This window comes from Homo sapiens, chromosome 5 (genome assembly GCF_000001405.40).
Source record: "Homo sapiens chromosome 5, GRCh38.p14 Primary Assembly".
NCBI classification, from domain to species: domain Eukaryota; kingdom Metazoa; phylum Chordata; class Mammalia; order Primates; family Hominidae; genus Homo; species Homo sapiens.
The window spans coordinates 142826823-142846915 of NC_000005.10; the positions used below are offsets into that span (position 1 = coordinate 142826823).

General features: G+C 42.6%; 1 protein-coding gene across 40 annotated transcripts in view; it reads left to right on the top strand.

The window, feature by feature from the left end:
- The window catches only part of ARHGAP26 (Rho GTPase activating protein 26), a 458635-nt gene that overhangs the window by 56446 nt on the left and 382096 nt on the right, over positions 1-20093 (top strand). Inside the window, exon 1 of one of the 40 annotated variants that reach the window (XM_047416974.1) lies at positions 6625-7003. The exons of 35 other annotated variants lie outside the window; for them this stretch is intronic. In XM_047416974.1, coding sequence (XP_047272930.1) covers positions 6913-7003 — 91 coding nt within the window. In that variant the 5' untranslated portion in view covers positions 6625-6912. Of the gene's footprint in view, positions 1-6624; positions 7004-20093 lie in introns of those variants that run through there. 4 more of the 40 variants (XM_047416975.1, XM_047416980.1, XM_047416988.1 and 1 more) reach the window with 4 other exon arrangements.

Consider the following 20093-nt stretch of genomic DNA (forward strand, 5'->3'; position numbering starts at 1 on the left):
CTTTTAAATACTTGATAAAAACCTGGCCTCCAAGTTAGGCATTTCCCTGCTTTTAAAAACAGAGGAAGCTTGAGCAAAAGCCAACATTTTTCTGGGTGACTCAGACCTGTCATTATGTGCTTCATTGATATAATTTTGAGTCTGTACTTTCAGGTTTTCATTTTCTTTCTTTGTGTCACTTGTCACCTCACCTGTGGCCACTGAGATTGTCACTAAGTGCCTCTCATTTCCTTTGGGTTGGCTGTTTTTCATCTCCTGTGAATGGGGAAACTGAGCTTCTGTTTTTTTTTTTAAATCCTATTTTTTTTCTACCCTATTTTTTTTCTAATGAAAAGCCGGAAGTTGCTTGGTGAGACCTGAGGAATGAGTCAGTGACTGTTAAAGCCACCTCTGGTGTTGGCTGGCCTCCATGGTTGGTTGTGGCATGGCCCTGTGTCCTGTGGTCATGGTCTTACTACAACTGTGGCATCTGCAGGAGGGATTGAGAGCTTGGGCGCAGGAGTCTCCTGAACGTGGGCTCAGGTCCTGGCTCCACTGCATATTAGTTTGGGAGCTGAGTCAGCTTAATGCCTCCAAGCTAAAGTTTTCTTGTCTTGGCACAGAAAGCCCTGCATAAATGATGCCCTTTATTATTAATGGTTGTAGAATTTGTGGTGCTGGTGGTGGAGGTTGAGGTTGGGGCAACATGACCAGTGAGTGTTTAGGTAACTATGTAGAGTGTAGGTTAAGAGCATGGGCTTTAGGGCCAGGATGACCTGGGGTTTAGTCCTTACTGCCTCATTCACCAGCCAGGTGACAGATAATGAAGGGATACTTACAGAGGTCAATGGCGTGGGCTATTGAGTTAATGTGGGAGTCTGTTCCTGGCTCTGCTGCTTACCCTCTGGTGACCCAAGTCTAGAAGCTGCTTTAGGTTTCTCATCTCCAAAATGAGGAAAAAAGGACCTACCTGTCAGGATTGTTGGGGGAATTAGCTTAATGCACATACCCTTAGTGTTTCAAACAGTGTCTGGCACATGTAAATGCTCAATAAACGTCAGCCGTTACTAGCTAATGATTCTCCTGGCATCCGGGAAGTGTAGATACTGCTTTTATTTTTTAAATACTGTTGTTTATGCTGTAGCCCTTTTCAGCACTTCTTCCTGGTCTTTGTTCCCTTGGCTTTTCTTGGTCTTCCAAGTATTGAAGTAGGACTAGTAGATGGTTCATTCTGGGAATAGTTACGCACGCTATTCAGAGGGAATGGATGCTTTGCTTTGTGAGTTTCCCTGGATCAAGTTTCCTCTACAGGTAGGAATTGTTTCCTTATCAGGCCCTCAACCTGGACCTCCCTGGGAGCCGCTGGCAGATTGTATGAAATAACAACAATACTCAGGGGATGAAGTATCTGTTAAAAATTACGAGTGTTGTCCTCTTTGACATCTCCACCCTTTCTTATGGAAAAGATTTTGAGTGCACTGTAGCTGAAAGATTATTCCTGCACTCTGTACGATTCCACTTTTACCCGTGCAGTTTCCCTTCTTTTCTTGGTAGGTTTACAGCATATGCACCACAAAATGAGTCATTATGACTTAAGTTTTTTTTATTTCTTTTAAGCCCAACATGTAGGTGGTAAACTAGGATCTTTCCTGGTCAATTCTAAAATGGTTGGGAAAATGAAATTTAAAAGAAAAACATGGAGAAGGAAATTAACAAGCATACATTATTCTTTTCCCCCTAAGGTTTTTGCCTTCACATGGGGTTGCTTTCATTTTCCTGACAATTAGTTGTAACTAAAATACTGTGTGTCTTTGGAATAATTTAAGAAGAAAGGTTTTGCCCCCATGAGGCATCAACCATGTGCAGGGTACTGGTGATGGACGGTTGCTGTGACTGGGGTAGTCTGGTTTGGCAAGGGCTTGTCATGTAGGGGATTGTCTCTATATTTTGAGGGGTTGGCAACTCTCTCCGCATGCTCAGGGAGAGTTGCCACCTGGCCCATCTGTAGAGTGGCCCAAATCTGGTTTTTGCCTCCTCTAGCAAGACGGGTTTGGTGTGCTAGGTGATTCTGACACACACCAGGTCCCCGCCTTCCTCCAGCAGCCTGACCCTGTCCTCAGTCCAAAGCAGCTAGAAGGCCTGCGTATCTGTTTCACCTGTTAAAGTGTTTCTGTGTGCTCATGATCTTCACTACTGGTGTGTTATTGGAAGTTAGCCACTGTGTTCAAAAGAAAGGCACAGCTTGATTAAATAGGTTAGTAAGTGCTGGTTAGGCATGTGCTTCTGTTGAGTCAGGGAAAGGCTGGTGGTGATAAGGAGAGGAGGCTTTGAGATTTCTGTAACCTTTCTGTCCTCTAGATTTCTGAGGTTGACACTTGGTAAAGGGAGAGAGAATGCTGTATACCATCATATTCTCTGTGCAGGACCCAACCAGGTTGACCAAATGTCCTAGGTCACACCTGCTATCTCAGCATGATTATTAACAGTGCCCCCTTTCTCGAAACCGTCTGTTTGGATCTGGCCACCCCATGTATGTGTCACACAGGTCTCTTTGAAACTTTTGTCAATAGGAATGAACCTCATTTTCCAGTGGCCTTTTCCCCCTTAGTAGATCATGATAAGAGTGAGATCACCTTCTTTTCCACCCAAATTAGCAAGAAAGAACAGTTCTGTGAATAGTTGTTACAATTCTCACCATTAATAACTTCAAAAAGCTAGAGATCTGCAGAGCAGAGGGCACCTCACATCACCATTGTGGAGAGGGTGAGGTGCAGTGTGATATAATTGGTATTTATCTCTGTGGCCTGCTTGCCGCACTGGATTAAAACAAACCAAGAATTTCAAGGCTAATTGGCTAAAATTATATGTGTAATTAGAGAGAGTAGAAAAGCTAAAGGAAATGAACTTACCCAGTGTCACCTGGTCAAGCAGGTAATGGTGAACAAGGAGTGTGTGCCCAGGTGTGTCTGGCTGTCTCCACTGCCCCTTACTGTCCACCATATTGGCCTAATGTTTTCCACTCATGACACTGAGGATGGTGTCATTCTCAGCATGCAGGGGATGAGCTGATTCAGAGCATGGTCATTGTTCCCACTGCTGTCTTCCCACAGCTAGGAAGTGGCAGAGGTTAGGTTTAAGCTCAGGCCTTTATACCATTATTACTTTGGGGAGGGCTAAATGGTGGATGTTTTCGACCTGATGAGAATAGTAGGAAGGGGCAATTGGTGTGAGGAAATATTGGCCCAGGGTGAACCTTTTCAAGTTTATTGGTGTGAGTTAAGTCATTTCCCTAGAATGTTGGCCAAGCCTCAGGAACATAGCACGTGGGGATGTTATTCATGTTCAATAAATGTCAAGTAGCATCCACAGATTTGTGGGTTTGTAAATCCAAATGGAGTGCTATTATTCAGGTTTCTTGCATGCTCAGGATTGCTAGCATTTGTTTTTGAACAGTTCTAATAAAATAGCTCATTACTATCAAGTATGGATTAAATACCTGGCTGAGAAAAGTAAGGTGATTTATATATCTTCTAATTAGTGCAATTGAGAGTGACTATGGCAATGATTAAAAATTATTTTGTGGTGATAATAAGTTGCGGTGGAGGGTAGGAAGGGGAAGTGAAGGATTTTTCCGTTTGTGTTACATTTCCACAGGTTTGGGATGTTTCTGACAGTACGTTATGGCAGTCAGTCTGTTTTTCCATAATTGTGATGACCTCTGAGTGAAGACTTGACTTTTAAAATTAATGATCTGATCAATGCACTCTTTAATTAATATAGCTGTGCAGGTGGATAAAAAATACCGGTCTTCAAAAAATGTTACCGATAGTATCAATTTTCACTGGGGCAAAATGACCAGACTAGCATGGTTTTGTATTTTTTCTCCCAAGCAGTTCTTGTGGGAGAGACAGACAGACAGATACACACACAAAATATGTAGCCTCTGGGAGTCAAGTTCATCTCTTTGCCATTGTAAATACTTTGGCCATTGTGATTAGTCACTCAGCCAGACTGCGCCGTATCCCCCTCTCTCAGTTTGTATCATTTTCCTTGATATCTGATTCCACTTACATGCCTGCTCTCAAATCTCCATAGCTACGTGAAAATATGTATGAGAGGTATGTTTTTTCAGACAGGCAAATATGACCTTGCAGATGAGCTCCTTTCATTATTAAGTTTTACACAAAATGCTCTGAATACAAATTATAATAGCACCTACCCTGTAGGAGTGTTTGTGGGGACTAAAGATGATAATCCATGTGAAATTCCGATCACAATGCCTGGCATGCACATAGGTCCTCAGCCTGTTAGTGTCTGTTTCTTTCTTGCTTTCTGTGGTTCCCTGATTTGCTGTCTCCACCCTGTTGAGTTGGTTCTCTCAGGGATTCCACTGATCACGATGGAGCCAGATCCCAATACTCTGTGCTCAGTCATTTGATATCTCTCTGCCTCGTTCAGGTGCTGAACACTCTGTCCATCCTGGAAACAGTTCTTCTCTGGGTTTTGTGGCACTGTGTTATTCTGATTTTCTCCCACCCCCTGGCCTTTCCTCATCTCCTTTCCTTTGCTCTTTGGTCTCCTTTTTTCTCCTTGTTGTCCACAGAAGACAATCTCTGAGTTTCTGTGCTCAGTTCATTTAGGTTTTATCAGCCGTCTGATTTACGTCTGTGGATGAAATTCAGATGTTCACCCCTGGCTTGATTTCTAGGGTTCCATACATCCATTTCCAACTGCATGCCTAATTACCTCTGCCTTGATGTTGTTTCATGTCAGCTCAGATCCAACATGTCTCAAACGCAAGCCACCCTCCCCTCCCTTCTCCAAAGTATCTCTTCCTCCTCCAAACCCTCCTCCTCCTCCTCCCTCTCCCAACCTGCAGCCCCCACCCTCTGCCACCCATCCCTGGGTCTTTGGATGGTGAAGCCCTTCTCTTACCACCTCCTCCCTTTACCTTAACACTTTGCTGCTTTTTCTATCTCCCATTATCCAGTGGGTAGCAATTTCTCATGGATTCAACCTTGATGATTCCTTCTTGCATTTGCTTTTTCCTTTCTCTCTCTGCTCCTTGCAACATAGCTACCTACATAGCCGCTTGACTGACTCTTGCAATGGCTTCTCACCTCCTGTGTGTCTCTGTTTGCATCAGATTTACTGCCGCCCCATTACTCCTCCTAAAGCACAGGTTTGGCCATATCATATCCACCCCCAAATCTTCCCTTGGCTCCCTGTTGTCTATTATGAAGACATACCAAAACTGTACACATGTCCTTTGGTATACCCTGTCAGTGGACACAAGGGATGCTGTTGTTCAGATGGTCACAGATAATAGTCTATTTTTGATGTCAACTTAGTGGTCCCCTGGTGAGTGAAGTGTTATCTGTTTCCCTCTAATAAATGCTATGGACTGAATTGTGTCCCCTGCCAAAATTTGTATGTTGAAGCCCTAACTCCCAATATAACTACTTGGAGATAGGGCCTATAAAGAGGTAATTAAGTACAGTTAAATGGGGTTATATGGGTGAGGCCCTGATATGATAGGATTAGTGTCCTTATAAAAAGAGACAACCGAGAGCAGGCTCTCTCTCTCTCTCTGCACACATGCACAAAGAAGAGGTCATGTGAGTGTAGAGCCGGAAGGCAAGCCAGGAGGAGAGCCTGCAGCAGGACCTGACCTTGCTGGCACCCTCATCTTGTCTTCCAGCCTCCAGAACTGTGAGAAAATAAAGTTCTTTTTCTTATGGCAGCTCAAGCTGACTAATACAAATAACAAACACTTATTTCAGGTCTTTTGTGTGCCTGGCACAGGACATCTAGGGAAGCGTGGCCCCCTGATGTTATGCAGTTTAGGTAAGTCCCTCTGTCCTTGCCCTGATGTCTTGCAGCTTTTGGTCAAAATGTAAGAGCAAGACACTGTGTTGGGCATTGAGTTTACAAAGATCATGAAGAGCTTATATCTTAGAAGGAAAGAAAGAGAAATGATTCAGTGGGAGTTGAATCTGCTCAGATGCTTAAGACACGGGTATAGCTGAAATGATGAGCTAGGCAAGCAATGTAAGGAATAGATTATAATATTAATTATCTTTCAGCTCAACACAGTTCAGTTTTTTTCTAGTTTTTTACTTAAAAATTTTTTTTGATTATAAAAGAAGTGAAAACTACCTGTATCTGTAGAATATTTGAAAAGTATAATATGGAAAATTTGTAAAGCAGTAGGATGAAATACACTCATAATCTTACCACAGAGAACTTTTATTTCTTTTTTTTTGTTTTTGAGGTGGAGTTTCACTTTTGTTGCCCAGGCTGGAATGCAATGGCATGATCTCTGCTCACTGCAGTTTGCCTCCCAGGTTCAAGCAATTTTCCTGCCTCAGCCTCCCGAGTAGCTGGGACTACAGGCACCCACCACCACACCCGGCTAATTTTTTTTTTTTTTTTTTTTAGTAGAGATGGCATTTCACCATGTTGACCAGGCTGGTCTCAAACTCCTGGCCTCAGGTGATCTGCCTGCCTCAGCCTCCCAAAGTGCTAGGATTACAGGCATGAGCCACTGTGCCTGGCCCTTTTATTCCTTTTTTAAAAAATATTTTTTAAAAAACATGTTCATGTACTTTTAAATGTGTACTGTTTCTGTTTTATGGATATAAGATAATTTTCTTACCTCTTAACTTTAAACATTTAGAGTGTTTCCTTTTTAAGTTTTTTTTAAACTATTTTAAAGAATATGATGGACATTTTTGTATGTACTTTTTTCCCCCATTTAATTTCCTTCAAACAGACTCCTTGAAGTGGAATTACTTGGTCAAAGGGCACAAGCATTTTTAAGGGCTTTGGGGACATCCTACCTACCGCTGATATTTGCGCTCTTTCTGTGTGAGCAAGGGTCATGTTTGGCTTTGGCATTAGGGGCGGAGGCCTGGGGACAGTGAGAGGAGAATGAGATGTGGCCACTACCCCTACAGAGTCTGTGTAATCTACCAAGAGAGGCATACCCAGAAGTGTGGGAGCTGTGAGGACCTTTTACTTTGTAAGTAATTTACCTCGTCTTTCTGAAACAACACAAAAATTTCAAACTACCACTTGGAAATATCTTGACCTTGGCGTTGGTAAATTTTCTGGGATTTCGGGGCCATCTTTAGACTCATAAGTGGGACAGTCATGCTTTTGGCAAGAAAGAAACATACTCATATTTAATAAGCCATGTTCAGTTTTAAACTAGATTTGTGTATGTTATATCGGGGTGCTTCTTGAGGAAATTTTGATTAGTGGACAAAAAATTATGAGCATGATAATTTATTTCCTTAGCCACATACCCCTATTTCTCAAAGAGATTTGCCAAGAAAGGCTTATTTTAAACTATTTAAATGTAAGCTTAGCATGTATCCAGAAAAGTACACAGCTCAGAAATGCAGAGCTTGATAAATTATCACACAGTGAATACACTTATGTAATGGCAACCCAGGCCAAGCAATAAAAATGATTAGCATCCTGGAAAGCTCCATCTCATCTCTAGCCTTTCCCTCTTCTCCTAGAGCAACCATTCTTCCTGAGTTCCAGCAACTTGGATTTTGCCTCCTGTTGAGTTTAAGAAAAGTTTTTAATCATTTTGGAAACTTATTTTAAAAATTAAATTCAAAAGCCCTAGCTAATCTACCTGTATCCTTTATCTATTATGGTATAACAAATCTTCCCAAGCCTTTGAGACCAAAGATGACAATAGTGTTTATTTCTTGTGACTCAGTGGATTGACTGGGTGGTTCTGTTGTCCTCTTCTGGGCTCACTTGTGCAGCTACATTCAGGGCGGGGACCACAGGGCCCCTCCCCATGTAGTCTTTCATCCTGGGCATCTACATGCTCTGGCAGCTTCAGGGCAGCTTTCCAAAAGGACAAAGGTGGAAGCTCCGGGCCTCTTGAGGCCTAGGCTTTGGAATTTGCATGGCCTCACTTCTGCCACATTCTGTTGGCCAAAACAAGTCACAAGGGATCCAACTGTATCACAGAATCCAGAGAGTGGAGAAACTGCCTCCAACTCTGAATGGGAGGAATGGCAAAGTCACGTTGCAAAGGAACATGCATTAAAGGTGCGTGGCCATTAGCAATCTACCATATCACCCAAAGAGTGCTATGATCCTGTGTAGACCAAGTTTATTGTTAATACAGAGCTCTATAATACTGAGACTCTGTTCCACCTGGTTCACGTGTGAACACTGTCAGTTGACAGAGCCAGGATGCCTGGGGCTAGTAGGGGATGTATTGTCTCCATCTGATAGAAGAGGATTAGATCAGAAATAGGAGAGCTTTTAAGGATTGCTTTTCTTTGGTAAATCAAGTTTGATCTGTACTAAATCATTTTCTTTTTCTTGATGTTTCTTTCATTGTTTGAAATAGCCTCTGTTTATCTCATGAAGTGATTTGAAGTTAATGCTTTAACAACATGAAAACATTTCTGGACTTGGAATGGCTGTTCTTCAAAGCACATTTGTACCTTAACCCATCAGAGATAGAATTTATGGTATAGAGATGTCTTCTTTTTCTTCTGGTTCTAGATACCCCGTGTAAGAGAGTATTCAGGTGGCCCCATTCATTTAACTCCTGGGTCTTGCAATCTTTATCAAAGTGAAATAGTCAAGGTAATATCAAGTCTATTTGATACAAGAAGAGTCTCTGATTCATCAAAAACATCCAACTGACATATTACCCAGATAGATGCTTATAGGGTGGTTAAGTCTCACAATTTCTTTGACTTGTCTTTTACCCAGGTGTCTTTTCAAAATGGAGGGAAATGGTGTTTTGGATTTGATTTGGTGATTTCGTGATTTGGTAATGATAATAGCAAGGAGTGGATCCTTTTTATTGAGCATTTTCTATGTTCATGGAGTTCCCTGAGCTTAGTACTTTTCACACATTGTCTCACAGGGTTTGTGGGGAATGAAATTAGGTAACCCATGGTTAGCACATGATACATAATAAAAACCCAATAGTGGTTAGCCACCAACACCAAGAGATGGATAATAATAATTTTCATTTAATTTAGCTCTTACAGTGATCTCAATTAGATTCTATTTGTGTTATTAACTTGTACAATCAAATCATCACAAAACCCTCTAAGATTAGTTTTAGTATTACACCCATTTTATATATTAGGAAATTCAGGTACGCAGAGTTGAAGCAATTCACAGAGTTAGTAAATGGCAGAGCCAGGATTTAAACCCAGGCCAGGGCATCTGAATCCAGGGCATTGGTACCCTTTCTTGGTTCTTGGGAATGGAATCTTCACGTACATTGACTTGGTGTCTGGATTCTTGGAGAGCAAAAGTAAGATATCATCAACCCACTTCCCTCCTCTAATGTTTAATTCTGGGTCCAGGCATCCTGGGCAGGGGCTCTGAACTGGTGATGCCAAGTTGCTGCTTCACTCAGTTAATGATCTCTCTGGGGTTTTGGCTTTTCACTTAATCTGTGGTTCATTCTTCCCCTCTGAAGAGAGGAGCTGGCTTCCTTAAAGCCTGACAGCTTTTTTCCCCGGTGATGAACCAGTCATATAAATCATTTACAACTTACTCTTTAAAGAGATGTTCCTTTTTCCCAATGCCAGAATTCAAGATACTCTGTAAGGCAGGAGCTCAAAGCCCTTTACCTGGGCTAATTAGACCACCTATGCTAATTAGACCACCTCTTCTCATTTCTCTGTTTGAGGCTTCAAGTAAGAAGAAGTCTCCCATGCACTCAGTCTGAAGTAATTTCCATAGTTTTCCTTGGCATCACTGAGTATTTTGAGACATCTCGAGGCCTGTGTTTTCACAGAAGTTGTCTCCGGGTTACTTAGAAGAGTAAGGATTGGAATAGAATTGCAGGGTACCCCAGTTTTAGTCTCCCCATGGAGTAGTTCAAAGGAGTTTGAAATTGCAAATATAAATAAGACTTTATGGTTCATGTTGTTATTGCCACCCTTCCCAATTTAGAAAACCTTTGGATCAGATACCATACTAGGCATTTTACAGGTATTATTTCATGTATTCTTTAAAACAGTTTTATGAGATTGGTATTATCGTACCTACTTTCCAGACATGGAAACTGAAGGACAATTATGTAACTTGCCTCAGGTCAGGTAGGGAGGAAGTAGCCCAGGTGGTACTGAGATCAGAGCTCAGGTTTTTCATATTTCAAATCCTGTTTTTTCCTGGGTGACTTACCCCATTGATGTGTCCTTCAGGCACCCTTTAAATCTCTCGCAGAACGCATTTGGAAACCAAAACGGTTTTTGTCTAAAATTCATTATCTGGAACTTCTGTAGTCAGTACTCTTTCTTCACCTTATCCTCTTTCCATTTTTTCCTCTGAGTTCTTGGGATGAAGTAATGAAGTTTGGAGGCAAGAAGGCCTGGGATTAGGTTCCTTTTAAGTTACTTGGCAAGAGAAAACAAAAGGGTAGACGTCATGAGAAAGTTTCCCATTGTATCTCTAAGCTCAGTGGAGGATACTCTATTGGAAAGTTCTGTTCTTCCCATGAGAGGAATTAAGGAAGGGAAGAAAGATCTTGGCAAAATTCTGTTTTTTTTTTTCACCCTCTCCCTCTGACCAGCCTTAGTGCTTTGTGTTCACTTCTGCTTTCCTCTTCTACCACCCACCCTGGGTTCCTCGTAGTGAACACGTCATTCGAACTTGGTATCTTGTTACTCTCACGTCTCACTTGAGCTTCACTTGGCGATGATAAGAAGGCCTGGTTTTTAGGCTTGCAGTGGCCAGTTGTGCCTGCTTCTCCTGCCTTGTGCCCTGTACTTGCCCTTTGGTACTTTGTGCAGCTGCGGAGCTTAAGGGTGAGCTAGTCCTATCTTTTCCCTGCAGTAGAAGATACTTTTGAATGTGAAATCAGTATTGAGTATTTCGTAAGATCCCTGATTCTTCTTGTTCCTTTTTGGGCATCATGGTTTATGAGATTCTGGATCGTCAGCCTTGGTAGAATAGTTATATATTTATACTCCAGCTCATTCTCTTTTCTTAGGACTAACTCAAACAATACAAAACAGTTTTGCCCCTCACATTGCTTCAGATGAAAGCAGAAGAAAAGAATAGTTATTTATGTACATAATTTCACAGTAATCAGATCTTTCATTTTTCCCTGCAGGGATATTGGCAGATAGCAATCTGAGTGTTTGCAGGTATGACATGTTGAGGGTAGGCTGGGCGCAGTGGCTCATGCCTGTAGTTCTGGCACTTTGAGAAGCCGAGGCAGGTGGATCACCTGAGGTCAGGGGTTCGAGACCAACATGGCCAACATGGTGAAACCCCGTCTACTAAAAATACGAAAATTAGCTGGGCATAGTGGGTGGGCACCTATAATCCCAGCTACTCAGGAGGCTGAGGCAGGAGAATTGCTTGAACCCAGGAGGCAAAGGTTGCAGTGAGCTGAGATCCCACCACTGCACTCCAGCCTGGGCAAGAGAGTGAGACTCCATCTAAAAGAAAAAAAAAAAAAGTTAAGGGTAAAATATTGATTGATTCTGTAGTAATGTTTGTATGGTACCTTAACAAGGAAATAGGTTTTGCATTTTTCTTCCTCCTTATAGCCAAGCTTTCATTGTTCTTACCTTTTGATTGAACAGAGAAATACAAAGGAAGTTAATTTTATAATGAGATGGCCAAAGGCATAATGATATACTAATGCAGGTATGAGGTCAGGTAAACCTGGGATAGAATCTAGGTTTAGCCACGCTTATTGGCTGTGTCACCTCAGACAGGTTGTTGAACTTCTCTGAGTTTTGCTTTTATCATCTTGGACAATAATGCCTACATTTCAAGATGGTTGTGACCATTAAAAATAATTAAATGAATTCGTAAGCATCTTGGAGTGTCCTGTATATAGTGGGGCTTATATATTATTGTTCTTATTTTGTTTGCTACAAATGCACAGAACAAGCTGGTTTGAGGCACTTGTGTCTAGTAGTCATGTTGTGGGATCAACTTTGGAAAAAGAGACAGCTTTGGAATTATCTAGTCTGAAATTTTCATTATACAGACAAGGAAACAGACTCAGAAAAGTTAAGTGACCACGTCAAAGCTGTAGAACTGGATAGGGACAAAGCTGAGACTAGAACTCGTACCACTGACTCTTAGCTTATGGTCTTTTTATGCCATCATGACTTATTTGGTCTAGATATGTATACCAGCATCTCTAGGGCAAGATTTACTAAAATCACCTGGGAAGTAGTAGTGTTGATGTGGTTAAAAAAAGTACCTTCCTGGACTCCGTCCTAGATTAATGACTCAAATCTCTGGAGTATAACCAGGGATCTGCATTTTAACAAACATTTCAGACGATTCTTATGTATTTTATAAGTTTACATTTATTTTGTGATGTAATACAAAATACATTTACAAAGTGAGTTTGAGATGAGTCGTTTGAGTTTACTGGGTTTGAGTCTCTGTTCTTATGCTGTAATTAAGATTTGATTTTCACAGAGTTATCTGAGCACCTTCAGACACTTAAAGAGTGCCTGGCACATAGCAAGCACTTTACAAGTGTTAGTTATAATAACCCCATTTAATTGTTATAACAATCCTTTGAAGGTTTTTTTTTTTATTTCTTTTACAGATATAGGAAGCTAATGTACAGAGCGGTCATATAACTTGCCCAAGGTCATCCAGCTAACAGTTGACAGAGACGATACTTGAACTTCTGTGTGTCTGATGCTGAAACCCATGTGGGATAGTAGATTTTTTTCAATAAATATTGAAAGTTAAAGGATTTTTCTCATTAAAAGAATACCCCTCTGGGTTTGGTTGATATTAGTCTGTTGAGGTAGACCAAAGAGAGACCTCATATAGGTAAAATAATCCCTATTCTGGTTTTCAAAACCAAAAAAGTTCTGGAATGAGGCTTTCCTGAGAGTGAGAAAGCTGGCAAAAACAATTTGTTCGAAAGGGAAAGTTTTTATTTTCATTCTCTGTGCAAATGAAATGGATGGTTAAGGGAGAAAGTGGCAGCTGGCCGAAGAGCTTGACTCAGCTTCTTCAAGTCCAAAGAGCTCAGAGACTGGAGACCTTGGGGAAATTTTGTGTGCTGTCCAGTTTTGTGTTGCGACAGAGAGAGAGAGAGGAGGGGAGGGGAGGGGAGGGGAGGGGAGAGAGAGACTGAGCTAGCCTCTGGAGTTATGCGTATTATTTTCCCCATGTTCTTTTGGTTGAGGCAGTTGCAGTGGTCCAGCTAGGTTCAAGGGAATATAGACCCCACTGCCTGGTGGAGGAGTGCCTGTGTCTCATTAGTCATTAAGAAGAATATGTGGGATGGGATGTATGGGTGTGGCTATCTTTGAGATATAGAATCTGCCACACGTTTTGACTCTACTGTTGCTAAATAGGTTCATTCAAGGACTGGGTAGTTTTTGAGGTCCTTTATCCTCATAGTCAGTGTGATTTATGGATTTGCCGTTGTTAAAAAGGCTAAACTTAAACAGTTTTTGGGTGGAACCTGAACTGTGTTTATTCAGAACTATGTAAATATATGATGGGGAGTGTCTGGCAAAGCCTTACCTCATCATGGAGGAATAATACATTGGTTATTTTTTTCTTTTAGTAGGAAATAAATCCTTAGTCTTTGTCCAGAATCTTAGGCAGTACATAATCACTGTTTTTGTTGTTGTTGTTGTTTTTTGACTATTGTTAAATAGGGCCTAAAATGTCTTAGGGGTTTGTGAACAAGACAGCCAAGGTTCTACTCTTATGAACCTTCAAGTCATGTGGAAAAGACAGACAGTAAACAAGAAAATGTTTAAGAGTTGTGCTTCTAAGGTTCCTAGGTAAATGAATGGGGAGGGCCCATGGCAAGTGGTAGTTGTCATCGTCTTATTTGAGCCTAGTTGGTCAGTAGAGGCATCAGAAAAGCCATGTGAGGAGTTTCACTTAGCCTCTTCTCTGAGGTCCTGGTGTGTGTACTCCACCCAGAAGCTGAGATGAAATTGTCAGGGAACAAACATGGACTTGTTCACAGAATCCTAGAATAAAAGCTAGATTAAGCAACCCTTCCATATCTACTCTGCCAGTTCTTTTTCTTGCCTTCCTCCTCCAAAGAAAGGTTCAGTAGCGGTAATGTAAGAACATAAAAGGAAGTAGTACTTTCACACAGCAGACAGTAAACACATGGAATTTATGTGTTTTCCTTGAGATGGAAAGTGTGAAAAGATGGAGATTTCATAAGTTCATGAAAACTGGATCTATAACAGGTTATTTAGGGAAATTAGTAATATTATGATCTATGTCTCACCATTTAAGGATATCCAGGGACCTCTGCTTGATTTCCTTTCCTCATCTTACCCCACCCATACAATAAAGATTAATTGCCTGGCTTCTTTGTATCAGCCTCGGGGGTCTGGGGATAAAACAGCATTCAGGCTTCCTACCTTCATGTAGGCAGACAAAGAAGAAAGCAATGAGACACAAATCACTGTAAGTCATCAACTAGGAAAGAAACAAATCCTGGGTGATAGGGAAAGACTAATGTCAGATGAAGTGTCAAGATCTGTCCCTGAGGAGGTGGCCACAGGTTTCAAGTCTCACGGTGCTAAGCCCAACACCTAGACTGGAAGATATATTAGGACAAATCCAGGACATCATTGCCGTTACGTTTACGGTGTAATTAAGGAAAGATTGGGTGGGAGCTGAGGATGCAGCGGTTCCTGCAGTGTATTGAATCCTTGGAGCCTTCACATTGAATAAGAATCCTTTACCCTAGCTGGAGGTGACTGTTTAGTCACACTGAGTGCGGGCAACCCTGCAAAGCTCCTCAGCCTCCGAGCCCCAGGTCTGATGGAAACTGTAGATTTCTTGGCTCTGCTGAAAGCTTGTCCCATGAGTGCAAGGGAGCAGGAGATGTCAGAGGCCTGACTTCATCTTGGCTCCTGCTTTTGTTGGAGGGCAGTTGCTAAGCAACGCATCCCTCTGGCTGGAGCAAAGTAGATGGCTGGCGGAAGAGGGTAGAGACAAGGAAAGTAGAGTAGTGCCTGAGTCGTGTGGAAGGATGACTTCTAGGAACAGAAATCCATAGAGAGATTTTTGTTTTCAGAGGGAGGTCCTGTTGCAGAATTTCACATGTTCATTGTGGCTACCTCTCCCCACCTCTCTTGTGAGCTCTGCTCTTGGTTTAGGGGTTCATAGACTTTTGCTTGTTTGGTAAGAGCCATGCAAACCTCCAGGTCTGGTGGTAATTACTGAAGCATGGTGGCCTGGTATATGAGAGTGCATTTTCCCTTGTACAAGCCTTCAAGGGGGAAAGGGCTTTTAAATGGGAACATTTGGTTCAGATTATTTTGATTTGTGTTAATGGGTTGGTTCCAAAGTCATGATTCGCTTTGGGAAATTTAATGGAGAACACTTGCAGGGTGTTATATGTTTGCTTTTTTCAAGTGATATTTCCCCTGCATTCTTCTGTGGTCACCTTTCCTTATTCTTTAGATCCTCCACCAACATTTCAAGAATTTTTTTGTGTTCTGAAGCGGCATGTTTCTTGAAATTGTTCTTGAAAAGAGAGGAGTGTGGAGTTATCTGGGTATGTAGTCTGTGGGACAGAAGGTTTGTGGCCGCTTCTTCCATTCCTTCTACCTGTTAATATCTACCTCACCCATACTTTGTGTCATTTATGCCCCCGTCTTGTGTGCTTCTAAGCATAGCAGAACCTCTGGTTAGTGCAGTTTATTCTTAGGTTCAGCACCCAGCACAAGAAATCTTGTGGAGTAGGATAGAATAGAATAAGTTCATCCCTGTGTGTCGGGAAGGACTAGGAGAAAAACATGCCTAGAGGTCCCACAGGTGAAACCCAATAATTGATCTAAAAGTGCGTAGTAGTAGAGCATGGGATTTAGAAATCTGTCTTGTCACCTATCAGCCCTATGTCTTTGGGCAGGCACTTAACATTTCTGAGGCCAATTTCCCATTTGTAAAATCAGAATGGAAATTCCCTCAACATTTCATTTGGAGGAGGATTATAGGAGGTAATATATGCAATAGGCTTAGAACGTAATTGTTTAATAAATGAATGGCAGCTGTTACTGTGAATAATTGTCTTATGTGTGGAGACTTCAGAGATTATACTAGTGATGGTATATTCTTGTGGGACAAACTCATGAAAATTATCCTCCTTGAAGAATCACATCAGTTAGATCGACTTCTTGTAGGGATGTAGGGGACGTGATTCAAAGGTCCCCCAAACCTTTGTTCCCCCATACCCTGGCTTTTTCTTCTGTTGGCATATCTGGCTCAGAGGTGGACCTACCCCGCCTTTGGCAACTTCTTATACTTATTTTCTGGGTTGCTTTCTATGTCTGGAAAAGCTTGCCATGAATGTTCCCTACCCCCTGTAATCACACTGGAGGTTTCCAAGACCTTTTGGCACCTCAGATGATGTTGGATAGTTGGCTCTGGGACCCAGGCATGCTCCCAAGTCTCTCTGGCTGCTGCTGCTGTTGCTTCCCAAGCATGCAGCTGAGGCAAAGAGTGTGATCACTCCTGGGAGCCAAATTGAGGCCTGTGTCTTTCTGACACTGAGTGGAGTTCAGGGATGCAGGGACATGGGCTCATTGAAGCAACTAATGTAGGGTTCATCCACATAAAGATGATACCTTTGATTGCTAAGGCATGCTGTTTCACTAGATTGTCATGATTACAATGATGCCTACCATTCATTGAGTGCTTACTCCGTGCCAGACATGCCAGGCAAACCCACGTGCTTTGCACATTTTGCCTCCTTTTAATCTCAGTGACATACCTATGGAGTAGTGACGTATAATCCCTGTTTTTCTGCAAGGAAGCTGAGGGTTTTATGGTACCACTACACTTCCTTATGGCGTGTTTTTTTTTGATGATTAAAACATTTCTCAGTATGAGTTGTATGAAGACATGGGGCACGGTGGATATAGTAGAAAAAGCATTGAATTATAAGTCAGGTTCTAACCAATCTCTCATAACCTCTACCTTCTTTCCTTCCACTTTTCCTTTTAGTTTATAAAATCTGGGGCTTGATCTGCAGAAGGTGACACTGTGATATGGTGATGAAGAGCCTGAGCTTTGGCTTCATGCATTCTTAGGGCTGAGTCCTGGCTCTGCCATTTGTTAGTTATGGGGTCTTGGGAAGTGGTGTGCTCCTGAGCCTTGGTTTCCTCATCTAGAGATGATAACTGTCTCCTTCCATTGTTGTGGGGACTAAGTGAGTTAATATATAATAAGATACTTGACAAGTATCATTACATGTGAGCTAAAAGTGAGTTTTTTTTTTTTTTTTTTGAGACAGAGTCTTGCTCTATTCCCCAGGCTAGAGTGTAGTGGCACGATCTCGGCTCACTGCAACCTCCACTTCTGGGTTTGAGCGATTCTCATGCCTCAGCCTCCTGAGTAGCTGGGATTATAGGTACCCACCACCACACCTGGCTGATTTTTGTATTTTTAGTAGAGATGGGGTTTCGCCATATCGACCAGGCTGGTCTCAAACTCCTGACCTCAGGTGATCCGCCTGCCTCGGCCTCCCAGAGTGCTGGGATTACAGGTGTGAGCCACAGTGCCCAGTGCTTTATATTAGTCTTTCTCAGACATTCTTGTTTTCCATGAATGAGTTAGCAGTTTTAAAGCTTTTTTTTTTTTCTTTTTGAGGGTAGTGTCAAAGACTTTGAAATATGATGAAAGTTCAGGACAATTTCCCAAGAAAAAGCCTCTTTACCCAAAATTCATTTTCAATTTCAGAGGGTTCAGGGCCAGGACCTTCTAGAGCTCTTTGAGAACTCCAGAATAAGAACTCTTTTAGGCTGGGCGTAGTGGCTCACGTCTGTAATCCCAGCAGTTTGGGAGGCCAAGGCGGTGGATCACCTGAGGTCAGCAGTTTGAGACCAGCCTGGTCAACATGATGACATCCTGTCAATATAAAAATTAGCCGGGCCTGGTGGTGGGCTCCTATAATCCCAGCTACTTGGGAGGCGGAGGCAAGAGAATCGCTTGAATCTGGGAGGTGGAGGTTGCAGTGAGCCGAGATCACACCACTGCACTACAGCTGGGACAACAGAGTGAGACTGCGTCTCAAAAAAAAAAAAAAAAAGAACTCTTTTAATTGATTGTAGGATGGTAGCCCCCGTTTTGCAGGCTATTCCTCCCCTGCTCTCTGATGCCTGCTGAACTTAACTGAGACCAGCACGTGTGGAGGAGCCCTCTGTGAGGACTGGAGGGATGCACTTCCTTTTCGTCTTCTCCTCCGTTCGCTAGTGAGCAGACTCCTGATTTCTTGGCCTGTGTTGCTGCCCAGAACAAGCACCAGGAATATCCTGAGGAGCTGCAGCTCTTGAGGGAGGCTGCTACGAGAGCAGGGAAAATCAGTCTTTCTCTTCCTCAGTTGGGTTATTTCAGGGATGAGAGGAGAGGGAGCAGCAAAGACTCTGGGATTTTAGGAAGAACCAAGCTACTGTGTGTTGATCGTCTGTTCTGTACCAGGAACTGTGTCTAGGTGGTTTGCATTCATTATTTCTCATCCTTAGAAGAATGCTTCCGGGTGGGTATTTGTTATCACCCTGCTTCACAGATGAGGAAGCTGAGTCTCAGAGCAGTTAAGAATAGCAAATGTCCAAGGTGGGAGTCAGGTCAGCTCTCTGAAATCATGGAGGTCTTCTGTGCCATGCAGTTCCCCTAGATGGAGTCAGGCCTCTGGGGTAAAGGGTGACTTCACGCCCTTTGCTGATAAAGGAAATGCTTTTCCTTCTGGTGGCCAGACATCCGCAGTTACTGTCTTTGTTATGTGCTCTAGGTGGCCTTCTCAGTGCTGAACTGCAGACCCGTGTATTTTTAGAAAAGGAAGAGGCTTCTGTGTGTACTGTTTATGTACAGACACATATCAGCTTCTCAGTACTAAAATCAGCTAAAGCAGCTGAGTGTCAGCTCTGGCTGGTGTCCAGATAACTGGCGGCCCTGTCTTCTGGCTGGCAGGTCCTCACCATGATGGCTTCAGGGACATGACTGACCCCTCACATCTCTCTTCTTGATAGACTAAGCTCTGAGTCCCCACAGAGACCTGCCTCTACTTCCTCCCCAAGCTCAGCTCTTGGCTTGTCAGCAGTTGGTCAGGCTGCATCCTTTTCTTTTTTTCCATTTCCCTGCCTGCATTTTCTCCTTGTTTCCTCACCCACACTTCACTCACATGCCTTTTTTTCCCCTGTGAGACCAATCACGTTTTGATTTTTTTGTTGTTATGGTCAAAGAGGTTTATTTTGTGCACCGCAGTGAAACTGGCTACCTAAGGTATCCATGTGTGAAAGCCACGCATTAGTTTCAAGGGAGGGCAGTGTACTGCAGCGTTTGGGTCTCTGTATCACCATTGTCTGCTCACATTTATAGCTGACTCATGTTGAGTTATATGCCAGACGCTGGCTTTGTGTATTACCTGTTGGGCCACAGTTACCTGTGTGAGGGTGGTTCTGGTATTATCTCACGGGCCTGAGACCTTTCCAAGGTCACATGGCTGGAGTTGTATCCAAGCTCAGAGGGGTGCCGAGGTATATGTGTCGGGTGAGGAGGAGTCACCAGTGCATAGGTGGGAGGGTGGGGCATGCCACCTTTCGTGCCTGTCTCTTGCTCCCAGGGGAATGTCTTTTGGTGTGGCCCAGGTGAGCCAGAATTTCAGGTCTTTTTGAGGATTAGTCTGTTTGACCTTCTTCTCCTCTCTGGCAAAGAGGATTTGGATGGGATTTCCCTTCAGTGGGGATTTTATCTTAGTAAGGGCTGCAGAACTGGGCCTGCTGCTTCTAGGATGTGCTATGTCATTCCTGCTCACTCCTCTGCTGTGACCACCCCTGCCACTTCCCCTTTATACCCCAGAATGAAGACTGCATCTCATAGACATTTGGGAGCAAAAGAGACTTACATTTTGTGCTGTCCTGTGAGAATCTATATATAGGATGTTGAGTAACCACTTGTAAGACACTTTGGTATCTTATTTGAGTAGTTTGGCAGATGTCCTTTAGTCTTGTTTTCTCTTTCTTCATTCATTAATTCAATATGTATTGATTAGTATGCTTAAAGCATACATGTATGTGAATAACTCTCCCTTAAAGGAGGATACCATGGGGGGACAGTGAGATCCAGAACCACTCGGT